General features: G+C 36.4%; 1 protein-coding gene across 35 annotated transcripts in view; it reads left to right on the forward strand.

Moving 5' to 3' along the window:
* The window catches only part of HMBOX1 (homeobox containing 1), a 163,155-nt gene that overhangs the window by 29,007 nt on the left and 114,063 nt on the right, over positions 1-20,085 (forward strand). Inside the window, exon 2 of one of the 35 annotated variants that reach the window (NM_001324393.2) lies at positions 5,518-5,633. The exons of the other annotated variants lie outside the window; for them this stretch is intronic. The gene's annotated coding sequence lies outside the window, so the exon portion shown is untranslated. The remainder of the gene's footprint in view (positions 1-5,517; positions 5,634-20,085) is intronic. 35 annotated transcript variants of the gene reach the window in all.

Genomic DNA, 20,085 nt, shown 5'->3' on the forward strand with positions numbered 1-20,085 from the left:
CAGTTAGCCTTCTAACTGTACACTATGTTTTTGACTGTGCCTTTGTTTGTGGGGAATTGGTTCCAGGACTCCCTTTGGCTACCAAAATCTGCTGATGTTCAAGTCCCTTAGATGGCCCTTCTGTATCCAAGGGTTCTTCATCTGCAGATTTAACCAACCATGGATGGAAAACACTGTATTTATTTCAGTATTTATTGTATTATAGCCAACACAATACTGTATTTTCATGTAATTTAATTCTCTGGCCTTTTTATTGGGATAATTTTGACTGCATAAAATGATTCGGGAAATGTTTTCTTCCCTTATATTTTCTGGAAGAAATTGAGTAGAATTGACATTATTTCTTTATTGAATATTTGGTCTATACTTAATCTCAGTATTTATTGCGTTACAGATAGCACAATGCTGTATTTTCAATAATTTCAATAAACAATACAGTGGATTGTTTATTAGCTGCAGATTTCCATAGTTGATTGAATCCTCAGATGTAAAACTCATGGATATGGAGGGCCAACTGTATAGGCAAAAGATGTAAGATGTCCACAACTTGAATGACTTGTTTATAATTTTGGATGTCATAGTAATACACAATACCCACACACATTTTTATTTTCTTTTGGCAAAATCCATTTCCTTGGAAGGTAGTATATAATTTGTATTTTTGTAAATCAAATTTTGTTACACATGACCTAAGCAAGAACAAGCAAAGCTAAAACAATAAAATCCTATTTTAAATTCTTTTGTAAAATGAATACTCAAGAGATCAGTGTTATAGCTTAATTTTAAAATGAAAGCCATAGTCAAAAGTGTATTTCAAATGCTAAATATTATAAAGAACAAGTGAAGTTTTGTGTGTGTGTGTGTGTGTGTGTGTGTGTGTTTTTCAATAGCTAGACCTAGAGATGTATTGCACACAGGGCTGGCTTATGAATAAACAAGAACATTTATTGTGACAGATGCAGCATTTTTTTCTACACTTCTTCCAAGATTTTACATCAACCAGGTAAACTTGACAACCTAGTTTCAAATTTATATGTTAACCTTTTATTTATATTCGTTGTTTCTTAGCTCCAGATACCATTTACTAACTTGTGCCTCTCTGCATCAAATTCGTTAACCTGTTTTTATTAACTAATTTATCAAATCACTATTGAGTTCCTACTATAAACAAGGTACTATGGTAGGGCCTTGGAATATAGTTGTGAATAATACAATTGGTCATCCAAACTCATAAGCCCTTCATATTTGCTTATAAATTAAAACCCTAGGCAGTATTTGCCTGAAGTTTAAATATATTACATTTTATTATGAGAATTTTTTGTGTTGCCATAATGGAAAAGATGTAACTGTTAAGATATTATATGATTAGATTATCTCGTGAGATTTATCTTTTTAAATGATTCTCTGTAAGCATGTATTCATTTATGCATAGTGCCCTCATACCCAAATATTTCCTCAAAGAAATTAATGGGCATTTATTGAGTACCTACCATGCTGGAGACTGTGGCTAGGTTTACTGTCTGATGAAAGAGATATGAATATAAACGAGCCAAGAAGTATGATTGTTGCCATAATAGAAACATGCTCAAGGTGGTGTAGAAGGAAAGTGCTTAATCTGCCTTGATTTTTTAGAGGAGAGTGTCAGAAAAGTATTCATCTATCTTTTGAGAGACCAGACAATCAGTAGATGAAATAATCATAGTGGAGAAGCTAGGGTAAGTGAAATTTAAGTAGAGATTTATGTTATTTTACTTTATATCTGACTTAAAGAATAACATACTCTAACATAAACCAGACAAAAAATATAAGAAAACTTTTATGGATTCCAGAATGATTTGTAATAAGTGGTACTAAATGCACTATAACATTATGATATAAATAAATCTTTAAAACAAACATTTCATAAGCATTTAAAATCATCCCTAAACCTGGCTAGGCACAGTGGCTCACGCCTGTAATCCCAGCACTTTGGGAGGCTGAGGCGGGTGGATCATTTGAGATCAGGAGTTCAAGACCAGCCTGGCCAACATGGTAAAACCCCGTCTATACTAAAAATACAAAAATTAGCCAGGTGGTAGTGGCATATGCCTGTAATCCCAGCTACTCGGGAGGCTAAGGCAGGAGAATCACTTGAGCCTGGGAGGCAGAGGTTGCGGTGAGCTGAGATCATGCCACCGCACTCCAGCCTGGGCAACAGAGTGAGACCCTGTCTCAATCATACCTAAACCAAAAATATTTCCATAGACGTTTGACCATCACTTGATATCAGGATGATGGATTATGACCTGTTATTTTTAGTTTGTCATGTAGTGAATATACTGTATAAAGGAAACCTGTAGACTTGAGAAAGATTTTAATAAAGCTTCTCTACATGTAAGTAAAATAGGCAAGAATGAATACTACCAATAATACCACAAAGTATTAGTAGATATGGTTGACCAAATGAACCAACATGATTACGAGATACTTTAATGATGGATTTGATAACTGCATATGTTTCATTCATTATTCAGTGTTATGATAACTGCAAAATTACTCCAAAATACACATCCTCATTTGAAGTACAGAACATATACCATAAAACATGCTTATATTTAATTTTAAAAGACATAGGAAGCTTATAAAAATAAAATAGTTATGTGTTGTCTTTTATGTTGTAGGGCTACTAAATAAGTAAAATACAAAAGCTCTATCACTTGAGTAGCTTCTCATTTATGGAGATAGAGAAGACCTATATGCAGAAATGCTTGGGATCAAGGTAGTACATACTAAGGTGATGAATTATGCTAAATCAACAAATGAGTACATAAGAAGCTAACCATCACAAAAGTAATACTTAGAAGAGGAGTATTAGAAAAGGGAGACAATTATGAACTAATGTCATCAGGAAAAGCTACAGGGAGGAGGCCAAACTTAAATTTTGCCTGGAAATATAGTTGGTTCTGTATATCTGTTGGTCCCACATCCATGGATTTATGCAGCTATGGATCAAAAATATATGGGGAAGAAAAAGTAAAGGTTGTGTCTGTCCTGAACAAATACAGACTTTTTCCTTATTATTCCCTAAACAATACAGTCAGACAACCATTTACGTGGTATTTACATTGTATTAGATAGTATAAGTAATCTAGAGATGCTTTAAAGTACACCAGAGGTTGTGCGTAGGTTCTTTGCAAATGCTACGCTATTTTACATAAGGGATTTGAGCATCCATGGATTTTGATGTCTGTGGGGAGGTGGGACGGAGGGTGGTCCTGAAACCAATCGCCCAAAGATACCAAGGGACAACTGTAATAGGACAACACTTTGTTGGGCTTTTATTTTTGAATTCTACTTTTTAAAGTACTTTTATCTTTGCAAAATCAAATCTGTGCTTTGAGAAATGAAGCAAAACATTCTTTGTTTAATGTTTTCTTTGTGGCTTATCAGTAGTTATTAACCTGGGTACCGTTGAAATCTAAAAATTATGAATTCTTACAGTAATACACATACACAATTTCCACATAATTTCAGACAGTTCTCAGACCTCTAGTTAACTCACCAGGCATTAATTTTATGTTATTTTCTTAAATTATTCTTAATCTGTAATGGAGACTTTGAACACATTAAGTTGTGTTTGAAGAGGAGTAACAATATATTATTTCTAATATATTCTATGAGTTACTACTGTGAAATCTCATTTATCCAGAGTGTGCTTTGGTAGCAACCATACTTTTGTGGCATAATAATAGTTTCCTGGAATAATAATAATTTATTGTGATTAAAGTGATGCTATGTGTCTGATCTCTCTTTACACATCAAGTAATACTATAAAAAAGCCTACAGGTAGATGGGCATTATCCCTTTTTTGTACTTGTTCTTTTGTTTTCTTAAAATTTAAAATTATGTAAATACACATAACCTAAAATTGACTATTTTAACTATTTTAATGAGTACAATTCAGTGACATTAAATACATTTACAGTGTTGCACAACTGTCACCACTGTCTGGTTCAGAAGTTTTTCATCTAGGGTTCAGTTTAGAAGGAAATTATACCCATTAAGCAGTCACTCCTAATTCTCTCCTGCCCTCATCCCCTAGCAACTGCAGGTCTACTTTCTGTTTCTATGGATTTGCCTGTTCTGGACATTTCATATAAACAGAATCACGCAGTATACTACTATTTGGATCTGGCTTATTTTGCATAGCCAGGGTTTTCAGGGTTCATCTATATTGTAGCATGACTCATTAATTTCTGCAGTTGAATAATGCTCCATTTTGTGGATATGCCACATTTTATCCATTCAAATTGTCCAAATTGATGGATATTGCTATGAAATAAGAGCTAAAACCAGGAGCTAACGAAGTTTACATTTGAACACCTGTTTCCATTTCTTTGGGATATGTACCAATACTTTTTTCTTGTCATTTGTCCCTAAGCAATACAGTATAACAACTATTTACATGGCATTTACATTGTATTAGATAGTATAAGTAATCTAGAGATGCTTTAAAGTACACCAGAAGTGGAATTGCTGGGTCATCTTGTAATTCTGTTTAACTTCTTGAGGAACTCCCAAACTGTTTACACAGTGGCTGTACCATTTTATATCCCTACCAGCAATATATACAAGGGTACCACTTTTTCACGTCCTCACCAACATTTTTTTCTTTTGTATTTTTTGTTTTTTTTAATTTTAGCCATCGTAGTGTGAAGTGGTATCTCATTGAGGTTTTGATTTGTATTTCTCTAATGACTAATGTCCTTGGGTATCTTTTCATGTGCTTATTGGTCATTTATATATCTTCTTTGGAGAAATGCCTGTTTAAACCCTTTGCCCATTTTTTAATTAGGCTGTTTTTTTGTTGTTGTTGTTAAGTTTAGTAGTTCTTAATATATTTTGGATAATCTCGTCTCAGATATACATGATTTGCAAATATATTTTCCGATTATGTAGGTTATTTTTTGTCTCATTAGAGTGGCCTTTGGACATAAGTGTTTTTTTTTGGTTTTTTTTTTTTGAGATGGAGTCTAGCTCTGTCGCCCAGGCTGGAGTGCAGTGGAATGATCTTGGCTCACTGCAAGCTCCGCCTCCCGGGTTCACGCCATTCTCCTGCCTCAGCCTCCCGAGTAGCTGGGACTACAGGTGCCCGCCACCACGTCTGGCTAATTTTTTTTTGTATTTTTAGTAGAGATGGGGTTTCACCATGTTAGCCAGGATGGTCTCGATCTCCTGACCTCGTGATCTGCCCCCTCGGCCTCCCAAAGTGCTGGGATTACAGGTGTGAGCCACCATGCCCGGCCCTGCACATAAGTTTTTAATTTTGATGAAATACAATTTATCTAATTTTTTTTTTTTTTTTTTTGGTTACCTGTGCTTTTGGTGTCTTGCCCAAGAAATCCTTGCTAAATCTGATGTCATAAAGATTTTCCCCTGTTTTCTTCTAAGAGTTTTATAATTTGAATTCTTATGTTTAGGTATTTGATCCGTTTTGAGGTGATTCTTGTATATGGTATTCTTTTCTTTTTGAGACAGAGTTTCGCTCTTGTCCATGCTGGAGTGCAATGGTGTAATCTCAGCTCACCACAACCTCCGCCTCCTGGGTTCAAGTGATTCTCCTGCCTCAGCTTCCTGAGTAGCTGGGATTACAGGTATGTGTCACCGTGCCCGGCTAATTTTGTATTTTTAGTAGAAACAGGGTTTCTCCATGTTGGTCAGGCTGGTCTCAAACTCTCAGCCTCAGGTGATCCACCCGCCTCGGCCTCCCAAAGTGCTGGGATTACAGGCATGAGCCACCGCGCCCAGCCTCTTTTTTTTTTTTTTTTTTCTAATAGTTGAAGAAAGTGAAGTTCAGTGAAGTTATGAATTACATATAAGAGCAGAACCTGTTATCTTTCCTATTAGTGATTTTTTTTTTTTTACTAGGAGTTGATAAACTATGGCCTAAAGCCAAATTGGATTCACCATCTGTTTTTGTTCAGTCATAACCTAAGAATGATGTTAAATTTTTAATTAAAAAATTAAAAGAATAATATTATGTGACATGTGAAAGTTATATCGTTCAAATCTCATTGTCCACAAATCAGGTTTTAGTAGAACACAGGCGTACACATTTTGTTGGTGTATTGTCTGTGGTTCAGAGTGCATGGGGTGTTTTGTACCAGTGACTAAGAACTTAGCTCCTGAATAAGAATACTTTAAAGGGAGAATAACCCAAGGTTTGCATCTGATCAGCCTGGTTGCAGAGAAAACTGTTTTGTTTTTTTTCTTCAGGGTGTTCTTTAGTTCTAGTTTTGTTCTTTTTAAATGGCAGCCATGTAGTTATTGTTTAATCCTTTCTTTTGTTTATTGGCAAACACTATATTCATTATTGTTTGCTCTCAGTTATGTGGTGGTAATGGGGAAAATGTTTTGAAAGCACATAGAGTTCTATAGTTGAAAATAAGATGTGTTGTTTTTAGTAAAGCACTGCAGGTAAACCACCTTGACCCTGTCAGAAATACAGACTCAGCCTTGAGGTTTTGACCCTGGCAGTGAAAAAAAAAATCTCTCTCATTATTTTACAAGTATCCATCTATTCCATTTCTTCCTCATTATGTTGCTTCTTTTGTGTCTTTTTAATGAGAGACTTTTATTTCAAGAAATCTTTTTATTTGATCCTCATAAAGGCTTTTTTATATTTTAAAAATAATGTATTAAAAATAATATAAAAGTAGCTAATGACTTTTCTCTCAATTGTTATTTTTGGTGACCTTGAATCTACTACTTTTAGACACTTGTGATAAATGAAAGATTAGAAACAGTTAAAACCTGGTGTCTTGATGGTTAAATGATGTTTATTTACTCAAAGCATAAACACTTCATCAGCTTCAGGTTTTTTTTATAATGATTTCTTACAGTAAAATGAACCTGGGCCAGGTGCGGTGGCTTATGCATGTAATCCTGTCACTTTGGGAGTGCAAGGCAGGCAGATGGCTTGAGCCCAGGAGATTGAGACCAGACTGGGCAACATGGCAAAACCCCGTCTATACCAAAAAAAATGCAAAAACTAGCCGGGCATGGTGGCGTATGCCTGTAGTCCCAGCTACTCAGGAGACTGAGGCTTACCTGAGCCCGGGAGTTTGAGGCTGCAGTGTGACTTTATTAGAGATAAACATATATGTATTTATTCATGGCAGATATATATATATATATATATATACACACACACACACACACATATATTTTAGATACATAAAATACAAATATTCATTTAGAAGTAGATAGACTAGATGTATTAAATATCTTTGTAATGTTCAAATTTTACCTTTGAGTTTGAGAGAATACTTCTGCCAGAAAAAACTGAATGCTTCTAACAACCTCATGACTTATTCCACATCTAGCCTAAGAGGCATAGTTAACTTTAATCTGTAATTGACTGGAGTAAACTTTATAAAGTAGAGCTTTTTAAATTTTTTTCTTTTTTGAGATGGGGTCTTACTCTGTCCCCCAGGCAAGGGTGCAGTATTGCCCTAGCTGGAGAGCAGTGGCGCAGTCATTGTTAACCTCAAACTCCTGGGCTCAAGTGACCCTCCTGCCTCAGCTTCCTAAGTAGCTAGGACTACAAGTGTATACCACCATGCCTAGCTAATTTAAAAAAACTTTTTGTAGAGATGGGGTCACTCTTCTGGCCTCAATGGATTCTCCCACCTTGGCCTCTTAAAGTGCTGGGATTACAGGTGTGAGCCACCACACTTGGCCTGTAAAAGAAGGTTTTAGTACTATGAACTCAATAGTCTGTTTTAAGTTTTTCCATAGCAATTTTTGTGAGGTAGGGAGTTTTTAATCACATGATCCATTCAAAAAATATAAAATTGTTGGATGATTACCAGAGGCTGGAAAGAATAGTAGGGGGTTAGGGAAGAAGTAGGGATGGTTAATGGGTACTAAAAAAATAGTTAGAAAGAATGAATAAGACCTAGTATTTGCTAGCACAACAGGATGGCTATAGTGAAAAATAACTTATTTGTACATTTTAAAATAAGAGTATAATCAGATTGCTTGAAATACAAAGGATAAAATGCTTGAGGGGATGGATACCCCATTTATGCTGATGTGATTATTATGCATTGCATGCCTGTATCAAAATATCTCTTGTAACCGATAAATGTATATACCTACTGTGTATCCACAAAAATTAAAAAGAAAAATATATATTTTAAAATAGTAAACTTATCACTTTTAGTCCATTTGTGTTACTATAAAGGGATATCTGAAGCTGGGTAATTTACAAAGAAGAGAGGTTTATTTGGTTCATGGTTCTGCAGGCTATACAAGAAGCGTGACACCAGCGTCTGCATCTGGTGAGGGTATCAGGCTACTTCCACTCATGGTGGAAGGCAAAAGCTAGCCTGAGTGCAGAGATCACATGGCAAGGTAGTAGGAGGAGGAGGAAAAAGAGAAGGAAGAGAGGGAGGTGCTGAGTGAGAACTCACTCACTCCCTTGAGAATAACACCAAGCCATTCATGAGGAATCTGCCCCCACAACCCAGACACCTTCCACTAGGCCCCATCACCAACAGTGAGGATCAGATTTCAACATGAGACTTGGTAGGTACAAACAAACCATATGTACCCACTGGAACAACTTTTATAAAAAACTACTACTCATTTTGGGAGGCCAAGGTGGGCAGATCATCTGAGGTTGGGAGTTTTGTTGCATGGGCAACAAAAGCGAAACTCAGTCTCAAAAAAAAAAAAAAAAAAAAAAAAGCCAGGCGTGGTGGCTCACGCCTGTAATCCCAGCACTTTGAGAGGCTGAGGCAGACGGATCACAAGGTCAAGAGATCGAGACCATCCTGGCTAACATGGTGAAACTCTGTCTCTTCTAAAAATACAAAAATTAGCTGGGCGTGGTGGCGTGCACCTGTAGTCCCAGCTACTTGGGAGGCTGAGGCAGGAGAATCACTTGAACTCGGGAGGTGGAGGTTGCAGTGAGCCGAGATCACACCACTGAACTCCAGCCTGGTGACAGATCAAGACTCCGTCTCAAAAAAAAAAAAGAACTACTACTACTACCATAAACAACTGTTCTAAAGTAAAGATGCAGGGTGTTATGCATACCAGTTTGCCCTAGTATGGGAAGTCAATGAAAACTTCCCAAGAAAATACCTCTTGAGCTAATATCTGAAGGATGAATAGAAGTTAACCAGTCTAAGAGAGAAGAGAAAACCAATCAAAGCAGAAGCCCAGTAGTTAGTTGGAATTTGACAAGTATAAGGATCAGCTGGTATGATTAGACTCAAGAAATCTGAGAGGTCTATTGGGAATGCAAATTGTTACATATATATACAATTGTTATGGAGAGCAATATGGAAATTCCTCAAAAAATTACAAACAGAATGACTATATAAGAGCCAGCAATCCCACTTGTGGTTATATATCCAGAGGAAATAAAGTCACTATCCATGCACTCTCAGGTTCATTTCAGAATTATTCACAATAGCCAAGATATGGAAACAACCTAAGTTCTGTCCCCAGATAAATAAAGAAAATGTAGAGTGTGTATGACACACATATGCACAATGCAAAATTATTCATTAGAAAACAAGGATATTGTTGCATCAAAGAGAAAATAAGGATAACTTTCTATTTGTGGCAACATGGATGGACCTGGAGGACATTATGCTAAGTGGAATAAACCAGGCACAGAAAGACAAATTCCACATGATCTCACTTGTATGTAGAATCTTTAGAAGTTGAACTCATAGAAATAGAATAGAAGGGAAAGTTGAACTCATAGAAATAGAATAGAAGGGTAATTACCAAAGGTAGGTTGCAGGGGGAGAAATGGGGATGTGTTGGTCAAAGGGTGCAAACTGTTGGTTATAAGATGAATACGTTCTGGAGACTTAATGTACATAATGGTAACTACATGATGTTTGGTGATGGATATGTTAATTAGCTTGATTGTGGTAATCATTTCACAATGTATACATATATCAAAACATCACATTGCATGCCTTAAATACATATAATTTCTATTTGTCTCTTATGCCCCAATAAAGTTTTGGGGAAATAAATCTGAGAGGCGTGGTACAAAATGAGTATGAAAGGGTGGGATGGGGTCAGATTACCCATGGCTTTTTGTATCAAGTTTTAAGGAAATTAATCTTCATCGTAAGAGCAGTGAAAGCATATGAAGTGTTTTAAGCAAGTTGAAGGGTATGTTTGGAAAATCTCATTCTTGTTGGCTCTGTAAAGAATGATTGTGAGAAGGGAAGTGAGAAGGCAAGTTGAATAAAGACTGATCAAATAAAGGTGATGGTAGCCTGCATTTGGGTAGTAGTGGTGGCAGTGGTGATGGCTATTGATAGAGACAGATGACAAATGCCAGAAATATTTAGGATGTTAAATTGACAGGACTTTGAATTGGATATGGGGAAGAATGAGAGCGTGTAAGATACTAAAATAGCTTCAAGGTCTGGCTTTTACAGTGTTCTTGGAGGTTATTTCTCTTTATTGAACTAGGATGGTTGTTATTGTTTATTGTATTTGTTTGGGATAGAGAGATGGCAAAGGCATTTATGCATTCCCTTTGGACCTGCTTGAATTTGATGAGCTGTTGAATATGCATGTCTGGAGCTCACAGGAAATTTCCGAGTTGGAGAAATAAATTTGTGAGGCCCACTCTTGACTATTTTAAAGTGAAGCACTGCTATCCCCTGCCACCCACACTCTTGATCCTTTTTACTGTACCTCTGTGTACAATTCAGTAGCATTTAGTGTGTTCACAATGTTGAATAGCCATTGCCTCTAATTTCAGAACGTTTCTAACACCCCGCCCCCCGCCCGCCCCCCGCCCCGCCAATGGAGACTCTGTAATCATAAGTCACTCCTCATTCCTGCCTCCTACATCAGCAGTCTTTTTGAGAAAGAAGGGCACTGGGCCTAATGTCAGGGAAACATATTTCTCTTGGTTAGGGTGATGGTGGGCATAGAAGACTGTCTTTGGAATGAGTGACAGAGGTTCTAGAAACTGGATGTGCTGCTGTTGCTTCAAACTCATATGTCTGAACCAGACTCTTTACTACTAAAAACAGCTCCTCCCCATCTGGACTTAAATATTTCTCTCAATTCTGCCATCCTTCTCCTAGTAACTGAGGTCTAAGACCTGGTAGCCTTTTTATCTCCTTCCCCAGTTATCACTATAGCCTTATAAATTTCTTCCTTTCTGTTCCCACTGCTGTCACTTTAACCTGGGTCCTTTTTAGCTTATTGCTGAACTGTCATAACTAGTCTCCCTGCCTCTAGTTTCTTTATCTTCTAATGATGGAGTATTCCATCTTAGACGTGTAGATACTGCTGCTAGATATTTATAACCTGGTATTCAAGGCCCTCTACAATCTACCCTTTCTTGTGCTGCTGTTTTGGTAGTCAAATAACATAAGTGAAGTATTATGCAAATATCACTGTGGTTGTTAGGCTTTGTCTTTTTCCCTCACTGTTACCTTTACCAGCCCCAGGTTTAAATCAAACCAGTCTAATCAGTATCCTTAAGCATACTTTGTGTTTTTTTCTTTCTCAGCATCTTTGTTATAGCAATTCCACTTCCCTGGAATTCTCTCCCTCCCTTCTTTCCTCCTATATCCTTTTTGAAATCTTACTTTTTGAAATCAGAGTCTCAGTGATCATTCACTTCTTTGAATCAGTTGTAACATATATTTTTTATACCATGTGTTATTTAGCCTGTGCATCCTTAAATTATTGTTTGATTTGTGTTAACTATATTTGTCTTATCTCGACATTTAGATTGTGAAACTTTTGATGGTAGGGAACATGTCACCTAGCACCTAGCTGTGTATTCTGAATATAAATGATTGGTAAATGATCTATGATTATATGACATGGTACTGAGAGAGTCATCAGAAATCATTTTGGGAATGATTTGTCTGCCCTTTCTCCTCAACTCTCTTTTTTGTTGTTGTTATCATGTTGACTTTTGGTATGAAATGTTAACTAAAAAAGTGATTTTTTTGCATTAAACTTAATAGTAATTTTTACATCTCATTTCAGGTGAGCAGATTTAAAAATCTAGCTAGATTATTTTTCAACACCTAATATATATTTCGTGATTGAAAAATAACAAGTGTAGAAAGTTATATAGTGACAGTTTAGATTGTGTTTTCAGTTCTTCTGTGAAGACAGTTATAGTCTAAACTTTGTCCGTGGAAACACTAGTTTTGCTTCCTGTGCTCATGCGTAGTCCTGGTCTGTAGCATGAAGTGCGGGGGTTGTACTAGAGAAGACCATATTTAGTTAAGTGTGACAACTTATTAGATAATCTAATACTTGTACCTTTCAAAATACTTAGTTTTCCATTAATAGGGAGCTTGATCTTTCTTATCCCCCTTCTCAGTGGGATAGAGTGAAAGTCCAAAACTAATACCTTATCTTGGTGGTGGTTGTTGTTTTCTGAGACAGGATCTTGCTGTGCCACTCAGGCTGGCGTGCAGTGTTACAATCACATCTCACTGCAGCCTCTACCTCCCAGGCCCAAGTGATCCTCCCACCTCAGCCTCCCAAGTAGCTGGGACCACAGGAGTGTACCACTGTGCCCAGCTTATTTTTTCATTTTTGTAGAGATGGGACCTCCCTATGTTGCCCAAGCCAGTCTGGAACTCCTGGACTCAAGTGATCCTCCTGCCATGGCCTCCCAAAGTGCTGGGATTACAGGCGTGAGCTACTGCACCCAGCCAATACCTTATCTTTACATAATGTAATTACTAGGAAAACAAGCACCTTTTATGTGCCAGGCACTGTGTAAGATCCTGGGATAGAATGGTGAATGAGCCTGAAACAATCTCTACTTTGATAAGGTTGGGAGGACATATATAATAAATAATTTTAGATAGTAGTAAGTGCTAGAAGCATATAAGTCAGGGTTATGATAGTATTTTAAACTTAGGGGCTCAAGAAAGGTCTCTTTGATGTGACATTTAAACTAGTACCTGAGTAATAAGAAGGAATCAAACGTGAAAAGAATATTTTAGGCAGAATGAACAGTTGAAATATCTAAAAGGAGGAATGGGCTTGGGGTATTCAAGGATCAGAAAGACGGCAACTGTGCCTAGGGAATGGTGAGTGAAGGGCAGATGCCAAATCTTATAAGGCAGTATAGATCATGAGATGGAATTTAAATTTTATCCTATGTACAGTAGGAAGCCAATTGCAAGATTTTAAGTGGGAGTATGACATTATTTGAGTTATGGTTGAAGGGTGATTCTGACTACCATTGAGAATGGCTTGTAAATTCTGCTTTCTAAAGAGAGGGATTAGTAGACACTGATAGACAGTGTAAAGCTAGTGTATAAATTATAGGAAGCCCTTATTTAAGTTTTTCTGCCTCATACTCATCTTTTTTTTCTTTTTACTTTCGTGGTTTTAAAAAAGTAGGGTTAGCAGTATTTCAGTCGACTTTAATCTTCCATATGTTTTCCCCTTATTATCAAACCTTCAAGAACAAAACCTTTTCATCTATTTTTTTATCAGCACTCAGTAGTTTATTTGTAGACTGACTAACCACTTCAAAACTACATGACTTAAAACAACAAGAATTTACTATTTCTTATGATTTTGAAGTTTGGTTGGGTTGTTATTCTGTTGATTTTGTCTGTGCTTCCTCAGGAGCTGCATTTAGGCAGAGGTGTGGCTAGGCTAGAAGGTGCAAAATGGCCTTAACTACATGTCTAACTGTTGCTTGGAGTGCCTTCATACTCCCTGATGATGGAGATCTGGTATTAAATCAGAGAACCAAGGCAGTTTCCAATAAACTAGATCATTTTCTTTACATGGTGATCTCTGTGTAGCTCTCCAAGAAAGTGAAAAGCAGAAGCTAGCAGAGGCTCAAGATTTATAGTCAAAAGTCATATAACCTCATTTTTGTCACATTCTGTTTATAAAAGCGGGTCCAAGTCCAGTCAGATCCTGTACTCTTTTTTTTTGATGGAAAGAAGGGGAAAGTCACATTGTGAAGGAGCAGTTATGATAATCTATGTAAATAATCTATCATGGTCTACCCTCTAGCCACTGCAATTCATATTTCTCCCACATGCAGACACTCATCCTCTCCCTAAATACCAAAAAACCATACCTGTTTGCAACCACACTCTCCAAGTCCATGATCTCTTGATCTACATCAGGTCCCTATGTGAATAAGGCTTCTCAAGTTCAGTTCCCCCAGTATGGCAACTCTTGATTCAGAGACCTGTCAACTAAATAGACTGCCAAATAAGCGATCTGAGCTTCCAGCTTAAGAAACTAGATAAAAATGAGCAAATTAAACCCAAAGTAAACAGAGGGAGTTAAATACAAGAACATTAATCAATAAAATAGAAAAGCAAGAAAATCAGTGAACCTCCCAAAGCTGGGTGCTTTGAAATCAAGATCAATAAAATTGATATACCTCTAGGTAGACTGATCTACAAAAAAAGAAGAGGCACAAATTACCAATATCTGGAATGAAAGAGGTGATATTACTGCAGAATCTACAAACGTTGGAAGAATAATAAGAGAATATTATGAACGACTTTATTCCTGTAAATTTGACAACTTTGATAAATGGTCAGATTTCTTGATGGACACAAATTATCAAAGCTCACTCAAGAAGAAATAATCTGAAAACCCCTATTAAAGTCTATAGTGGACTTTAATATGTTTTTTAAAGAAATTGGATTTATAGCTAAAAACCTTTCGTGCAAAGAAAACTGCATGGCTTAATGGTGAATTAATTAATGTTCTTCCAAATATTTAAGGAAGAAATAATGAATGCCAATTTCATATAAACTCTTTCAGAAAACAGAAGAGAAAGGTAACACTTCTCAACTCATGAGGCCAGCATTACTAGAATGCTAAGACAGAGACATTACAGGAAATCTGTAGGCCAGTGTCCCTTAGAAACATATGCAGAAATCCTTAATAAAATATTAGAAAATGATAAAATAACAAATTGAATCCAGCAGTATAAAAATAAAAGGTTAATACCTGATGACTAAAAGGTTTGTATATCAAAAAATGTAACAATGGTTTAACAATCTAAAATCAATATGATTCACCATATTAACAGACTCAAGTAGAAAAACTAATCAGTTCAATAGATGCAGAAAGACATCATTCGTAATGTAAAAGCAAACCAAAACTTAACAAACTAGGCATAGAAAAGAACTTTCTTAAACTGATAGAGGGTTTCTACTAAATACCCAAAACTTAGATTGTACTTGATGGTCAAAGACTGAATGAATGCTTTTCTCTTGGGACTGGCAGCAGGGCAAGAATTTCTGCAGGTACTACTGCTATTCATAATATACTATAGCTCCTCACCAGTAAAATAGGAAAATAAAAGGCATATGGACTACAGAAAAAAGAACCAAAGCTGTCTCTATTCACAGACAACCTAATTGTGCTTGTAAAACAAATCCTAAGGGATATGTTTGTAAAAACTCTTAGAATTATTAAGTTAGTTTAGTAAAGTCACAGGATACATGAAATAATATACAGAAATTGGCCGGGCGCGGTGGCTCACGCCTGTAATTCCAGCACTTTGGGAGGCTGAGGCGGGCGGATCACGAGATCAGGAGATCGAGACCATCCTGGCTAACACGGTGAAACCCCATCTCTACTAAAAATACAAGAAAAATTAGCTGGGCGCGGTGGCAGGCGCCTGTAGTCCCAGCTACTCGGAAGGTTGAGGCAGGAGAATGGCGTGAACCCGGGAGGCGGAGCTTGCAGTGAGCCGAGATCGCGCCACTGGACTCCAGCCTGGGCGACAGAGCGAGACTCCGTCTCAAAAAAAAAAAAAAAAATCATAAATCATTTTTAGTTCTGTACACCGTTATATTAGAAATGAACAACTGGAAAGGGAAAGCACAATAACATTGCCACTTATAGTGGCATCAAAAAATGAAATACTTAAGAATAAATAGTAAATGTATACAAGACCTGGTACTGAAAAACATACAACACTGCTGACATAAATTAAAGAAAACCTGAATAAATTAAGATATATACTATGTTGATGGATCAGAAGACTCAATAATTTGTAATTTTCAGTTCTTTCCAAATTGTTGATAGGTTGAACCCGATCTCAATCAAATCCCTGGGAGGCTTTTATAGAACTTGATAAGCTTAGTCTGTCATTTATATGGAAATTCAGAATACCTATAATAAGCCAATTTAAAAAAAAGTAGAGGAATTACACAACTTAAGACTGTGTGATGTTAGCATAGGATAGATCAGTTGAACAGAATAGAGACTGGAAAGACTTTTGTTTATGGCTCATTAATTTTTGGCGAATATGCTAAGGTAATTCATTGAGCAAATGTTGGTGGAAGAACCGGATATCCATTTGAGGGTAAGGGGGAGCATTTCTTGACTCTTATTTCATACTATATACAGAAATTAAGTTGAGTAGATTATAGTCCTAAACCTAAGAGGTGGAAGGATAAAGCTTCTAGAAGAAATACAGAAGAAAATGTAACTTTGCTAAGGCCAAGTTTCTTAGAGAGAAACCAAAAAACATGAACAATAAGAGAATATTGATAAATTCCATTTTATCAAATTATAAACTTCTAAAGACATGATGGAAGAGTAGTAAGGTTGCATTATAAAAGGACATGCACCATAAGATGGGTATAATTCGCGGCTTTATTTTGCAATGCATTACTCCAGTATAGTATAGAAAAGAGTGTACTGAGCTTAGGAACCTCTAATGTGTAATCTTGACTCTGACACTTGTCAGAGATACTATTTAGTAAATTAGTGTTTTGTTATTTTCTCTGAGTGTTGGCTTTCTTTTTTTGTAAAATGGTAATACTGATGCCTACTCTCTAGAATTACATTGAGGGTCAAATAAAAAAATAGAAAAGAATATATATATAAAGTGCTCTTGCTATTCTTATTTAATGTATCATCATCACCATTGTTATTATACATAGTTGGTCCTTAATAGTTCCTCCCCTTGAAAAATGCTAAGTATGAAAAGATGTCTCTTTTTCACAATACTAACTGTAATTATCTCCTAAGGGAAGCGTAAAATTTTTTAATGTTTCAGTAGATGTATAAACTCCAGTTTATTTTAACCCTCTGATTCTTGACTGTAGGAATCAAACATGGGTGTAATCACATTTTTTTTCTCAGAAGAACTGCTCACACTGTTACACTCTGTAGTTTTATGCCAGACCAGTCCCTTTCACCAGTATTACTTTTATGAGCAATTAAAATATAGAACTAATAATAATATCATTTATGAAGTAATATAACATTATAAATATATACTATGTATTATACATTTAAACTATAATAATAATAAAACTGGTCATTAGAGTACTTTTTGCCTAGAAATTTCCTCCGTGTACTTTTTTAATTGTGGTGAGATTCAGCTGTACTCTAAAACATGTAATTATCCACTGTGAGAAATAAAAGATAGTTAAGTGGTTCCCAAGAACATATTAGACACTTTGAGCTAACATGAGAATGATTTCATGTCAAATGAGATGAACTCTATGGCTTCACAAATCCACTTGTCTTTGGCACAGGGAAAATGAATCTTTTTAATATCTGAGAGTTAGGTTATAGAGATTCATCCATTATAAATTTAAACTTATTATATTACACAGGTTAAGAATATTTTTTCCATCAAGGGCCACTGAACCAGAGGGTTAAAAAAAAAAAAAAAACAGCCCCCAAGGCCACTTTCAAAGAGTTGTGCTGAGGGTTTTGGGGGCAAGAAAGATTAAAAAAAAAATGTTCATTCTACTTTTAATATAAAAACAGGAATATAGAATTTTGTTCAATTAATACAATTAAAGTACAATATTGTTCTTCATTTTAGGTGGTACAGGATATAAGATGGTAGTATTGAAAAGAGTGAAAGAAAAAAATCAGCTGTCATCATCTTTCTGTATGTATATTTTTCAGTTGTCAGTGTACCACCTTTCCAGTCAGCCAGACCGGAAGGAAGATGTGAGATTGCTAGTGAGGTTGGCATAGCTGGGATGGAAAAAGAGACTTATAAACTGGTTCTAGTGGTTTTGAAGTGGGTGTCAGCATTTCTGTACAGATGTCCTAAATCTTTTGGGTTGTAGTAATAAGTTGTTTGTTATCCATAGTCATTGAAATTCTGTTTTTCTCATTATCAGTTAATGTTTATTCCTAATCTCTGTTACTTTATGCCACCCTAAAGGAAAATTATTCTTATGTGTACAACATTATTATCTCATAAGAGTACTTGCTATAGGCCAGATAGATTCATAACCCAAAGACCTCCAATTCCTTGGATCAGTTTCTGTATGACATGGAATTCTTTCATCATGGCTCTGAAATTTTTGTTCTTCCATTAAAAAAAGTCCTTTTTGTTTATGAAAATAGAGTGCAACCCAACACATTTTCTTCAATACAATCTTGGGAAGTATTCTTAGTACCTACTGGTGTTGCCAGAATACTAACCTTGAGACTAGAGATCTCATCTTTGTATCTTCCGTAATATTTTGCACAAAGTGGAGGTTTAATCTCAAAGGCAAGACTATTATTTTATCATTTAGAGTCCCCCTGTGTTAGAAAAGGAAGAGAAGAATAAACATGGCCAAGAACAGCATAGACCTAGAAAATGTGATCGATCATCAGAGTTTTCTTGAAGGTAATTTATGGGAGAAAACTGAAAAATAACTTTAAAAATTAGAAAGTTTTGAAGGTGAAGCATGTGTCTGCCATCTATTCATTTTTGTCCCTCTGTATATTATGATACTTAGTTTTTTCTCCCTTATCCATAATTTTTTTTATACTTCAGTTATTAGGTGTCATCACAGATCCCTCATTGAATCTCCATCTGTCATTTTCTCTTTTTGATTGCCTCAGGAGACCTCTTGCTCATGACCTTTATTAATTTAAGCCAGGATAACAGGCTTTTGTTTCAATTTGTCATACTAGAGTTCTTATATGTCTGGTATTGCAGGCCTCCTCAGTTCTCCATGTTTCAGATAACAGACTTTGATAACTTTTCCACATCATGTTGGTCAGGAATCTATATGTTAAAAACAAAGAGCAGTGTTGAAATGTGACTTTGCACAAGTAAACCTACCTCAGCTAGTTTTATCTGCAAAATCGAGAAAATTAATATCTGCTCTTGCAATGTAATAGAATTTGTTGTGAGTATAAAATTAAAGATTTGTAAGCTGCAAGACCTCTGCAATTTTCAGGTATTATGGGAAGGATATTTCTAGAAATAAGTGCCACTTAGGAAGGGCTGCAGTAAAATAAAATATTCACACTCATATGAAGCAGCAAGGGGTATCTTTTTTTTGTTATTTTTAGTTTTTTAAGAGACAGGGTCTTGCTCATTAGCTTAGACTGGAATACAGTGGCACGATCATAGAATCATAGTTCACTGCAGTCCCAAACTCCTGGGCTCAGGTCATCCTCCAGCTTCAGCCTTAAGAGTAGCTAGGATTACAGGCGCACACCACCACTCCTGGCAATTTTTTTTTTTTTTTGGTAGAGACAGGGTCTCGCTATGTTGCTCCAGCTGGTCTTGAACTCCTGGCCTCAAGTGATCCTTTCTGCCTTGGCCTCCCAGAGTGTTGGAATTACAGGCATGAGCCACCTCACCTGGCCAGGGGTATCTTTTCATTCACTTCATTTCTTTATCTGGAGTAGTCTTTTTCTATCTGTGGAAATTCAATTCACCCCAAAAAGCCTAGGGCAGATGGCACCACCTTCATAAATTCTTCCTTTCTAAATTAAAAATGATGGGGGCTCAGGCCTGCAATCCCAGCATTTTGGGAGGCCAAGGTGGGAGGATTGTTTGAGGCTGGGAGTTTCAGACCAACCTGGGCAAGAAAGCAAGACTTTGTCTCTTTAAAAAAACAAAAGAAGCCAGGTGTGGTGGCTCACGCCTGTAATCCCAGCCCTTTGGGAGGCTGAGGTGGGCGGATCACCTGAGGTCAAGAGTTCCACACTAGCCTGACCAATATGGTGAAATCCCATCTCTACTAAATACAAAAAATTAGCTGGGCATGGTGGCATGTGCCTGTAATCCCAGCTACTCGGGAGGCTGAGGCAGGAGAATTGCTT

Source organism: Homo sapiens, chromosome 8 (genome assembly GCF_000001405.40).
Source record: "Homo sapiens chromosome 8, GRCh38.p14 Primary Assembly".
Taxonomy (NCBI): Eukaryota; Metazoa; Chordata; class Mammalia; order Primates; family Hominidae; genus Homo; species Homo sapiens.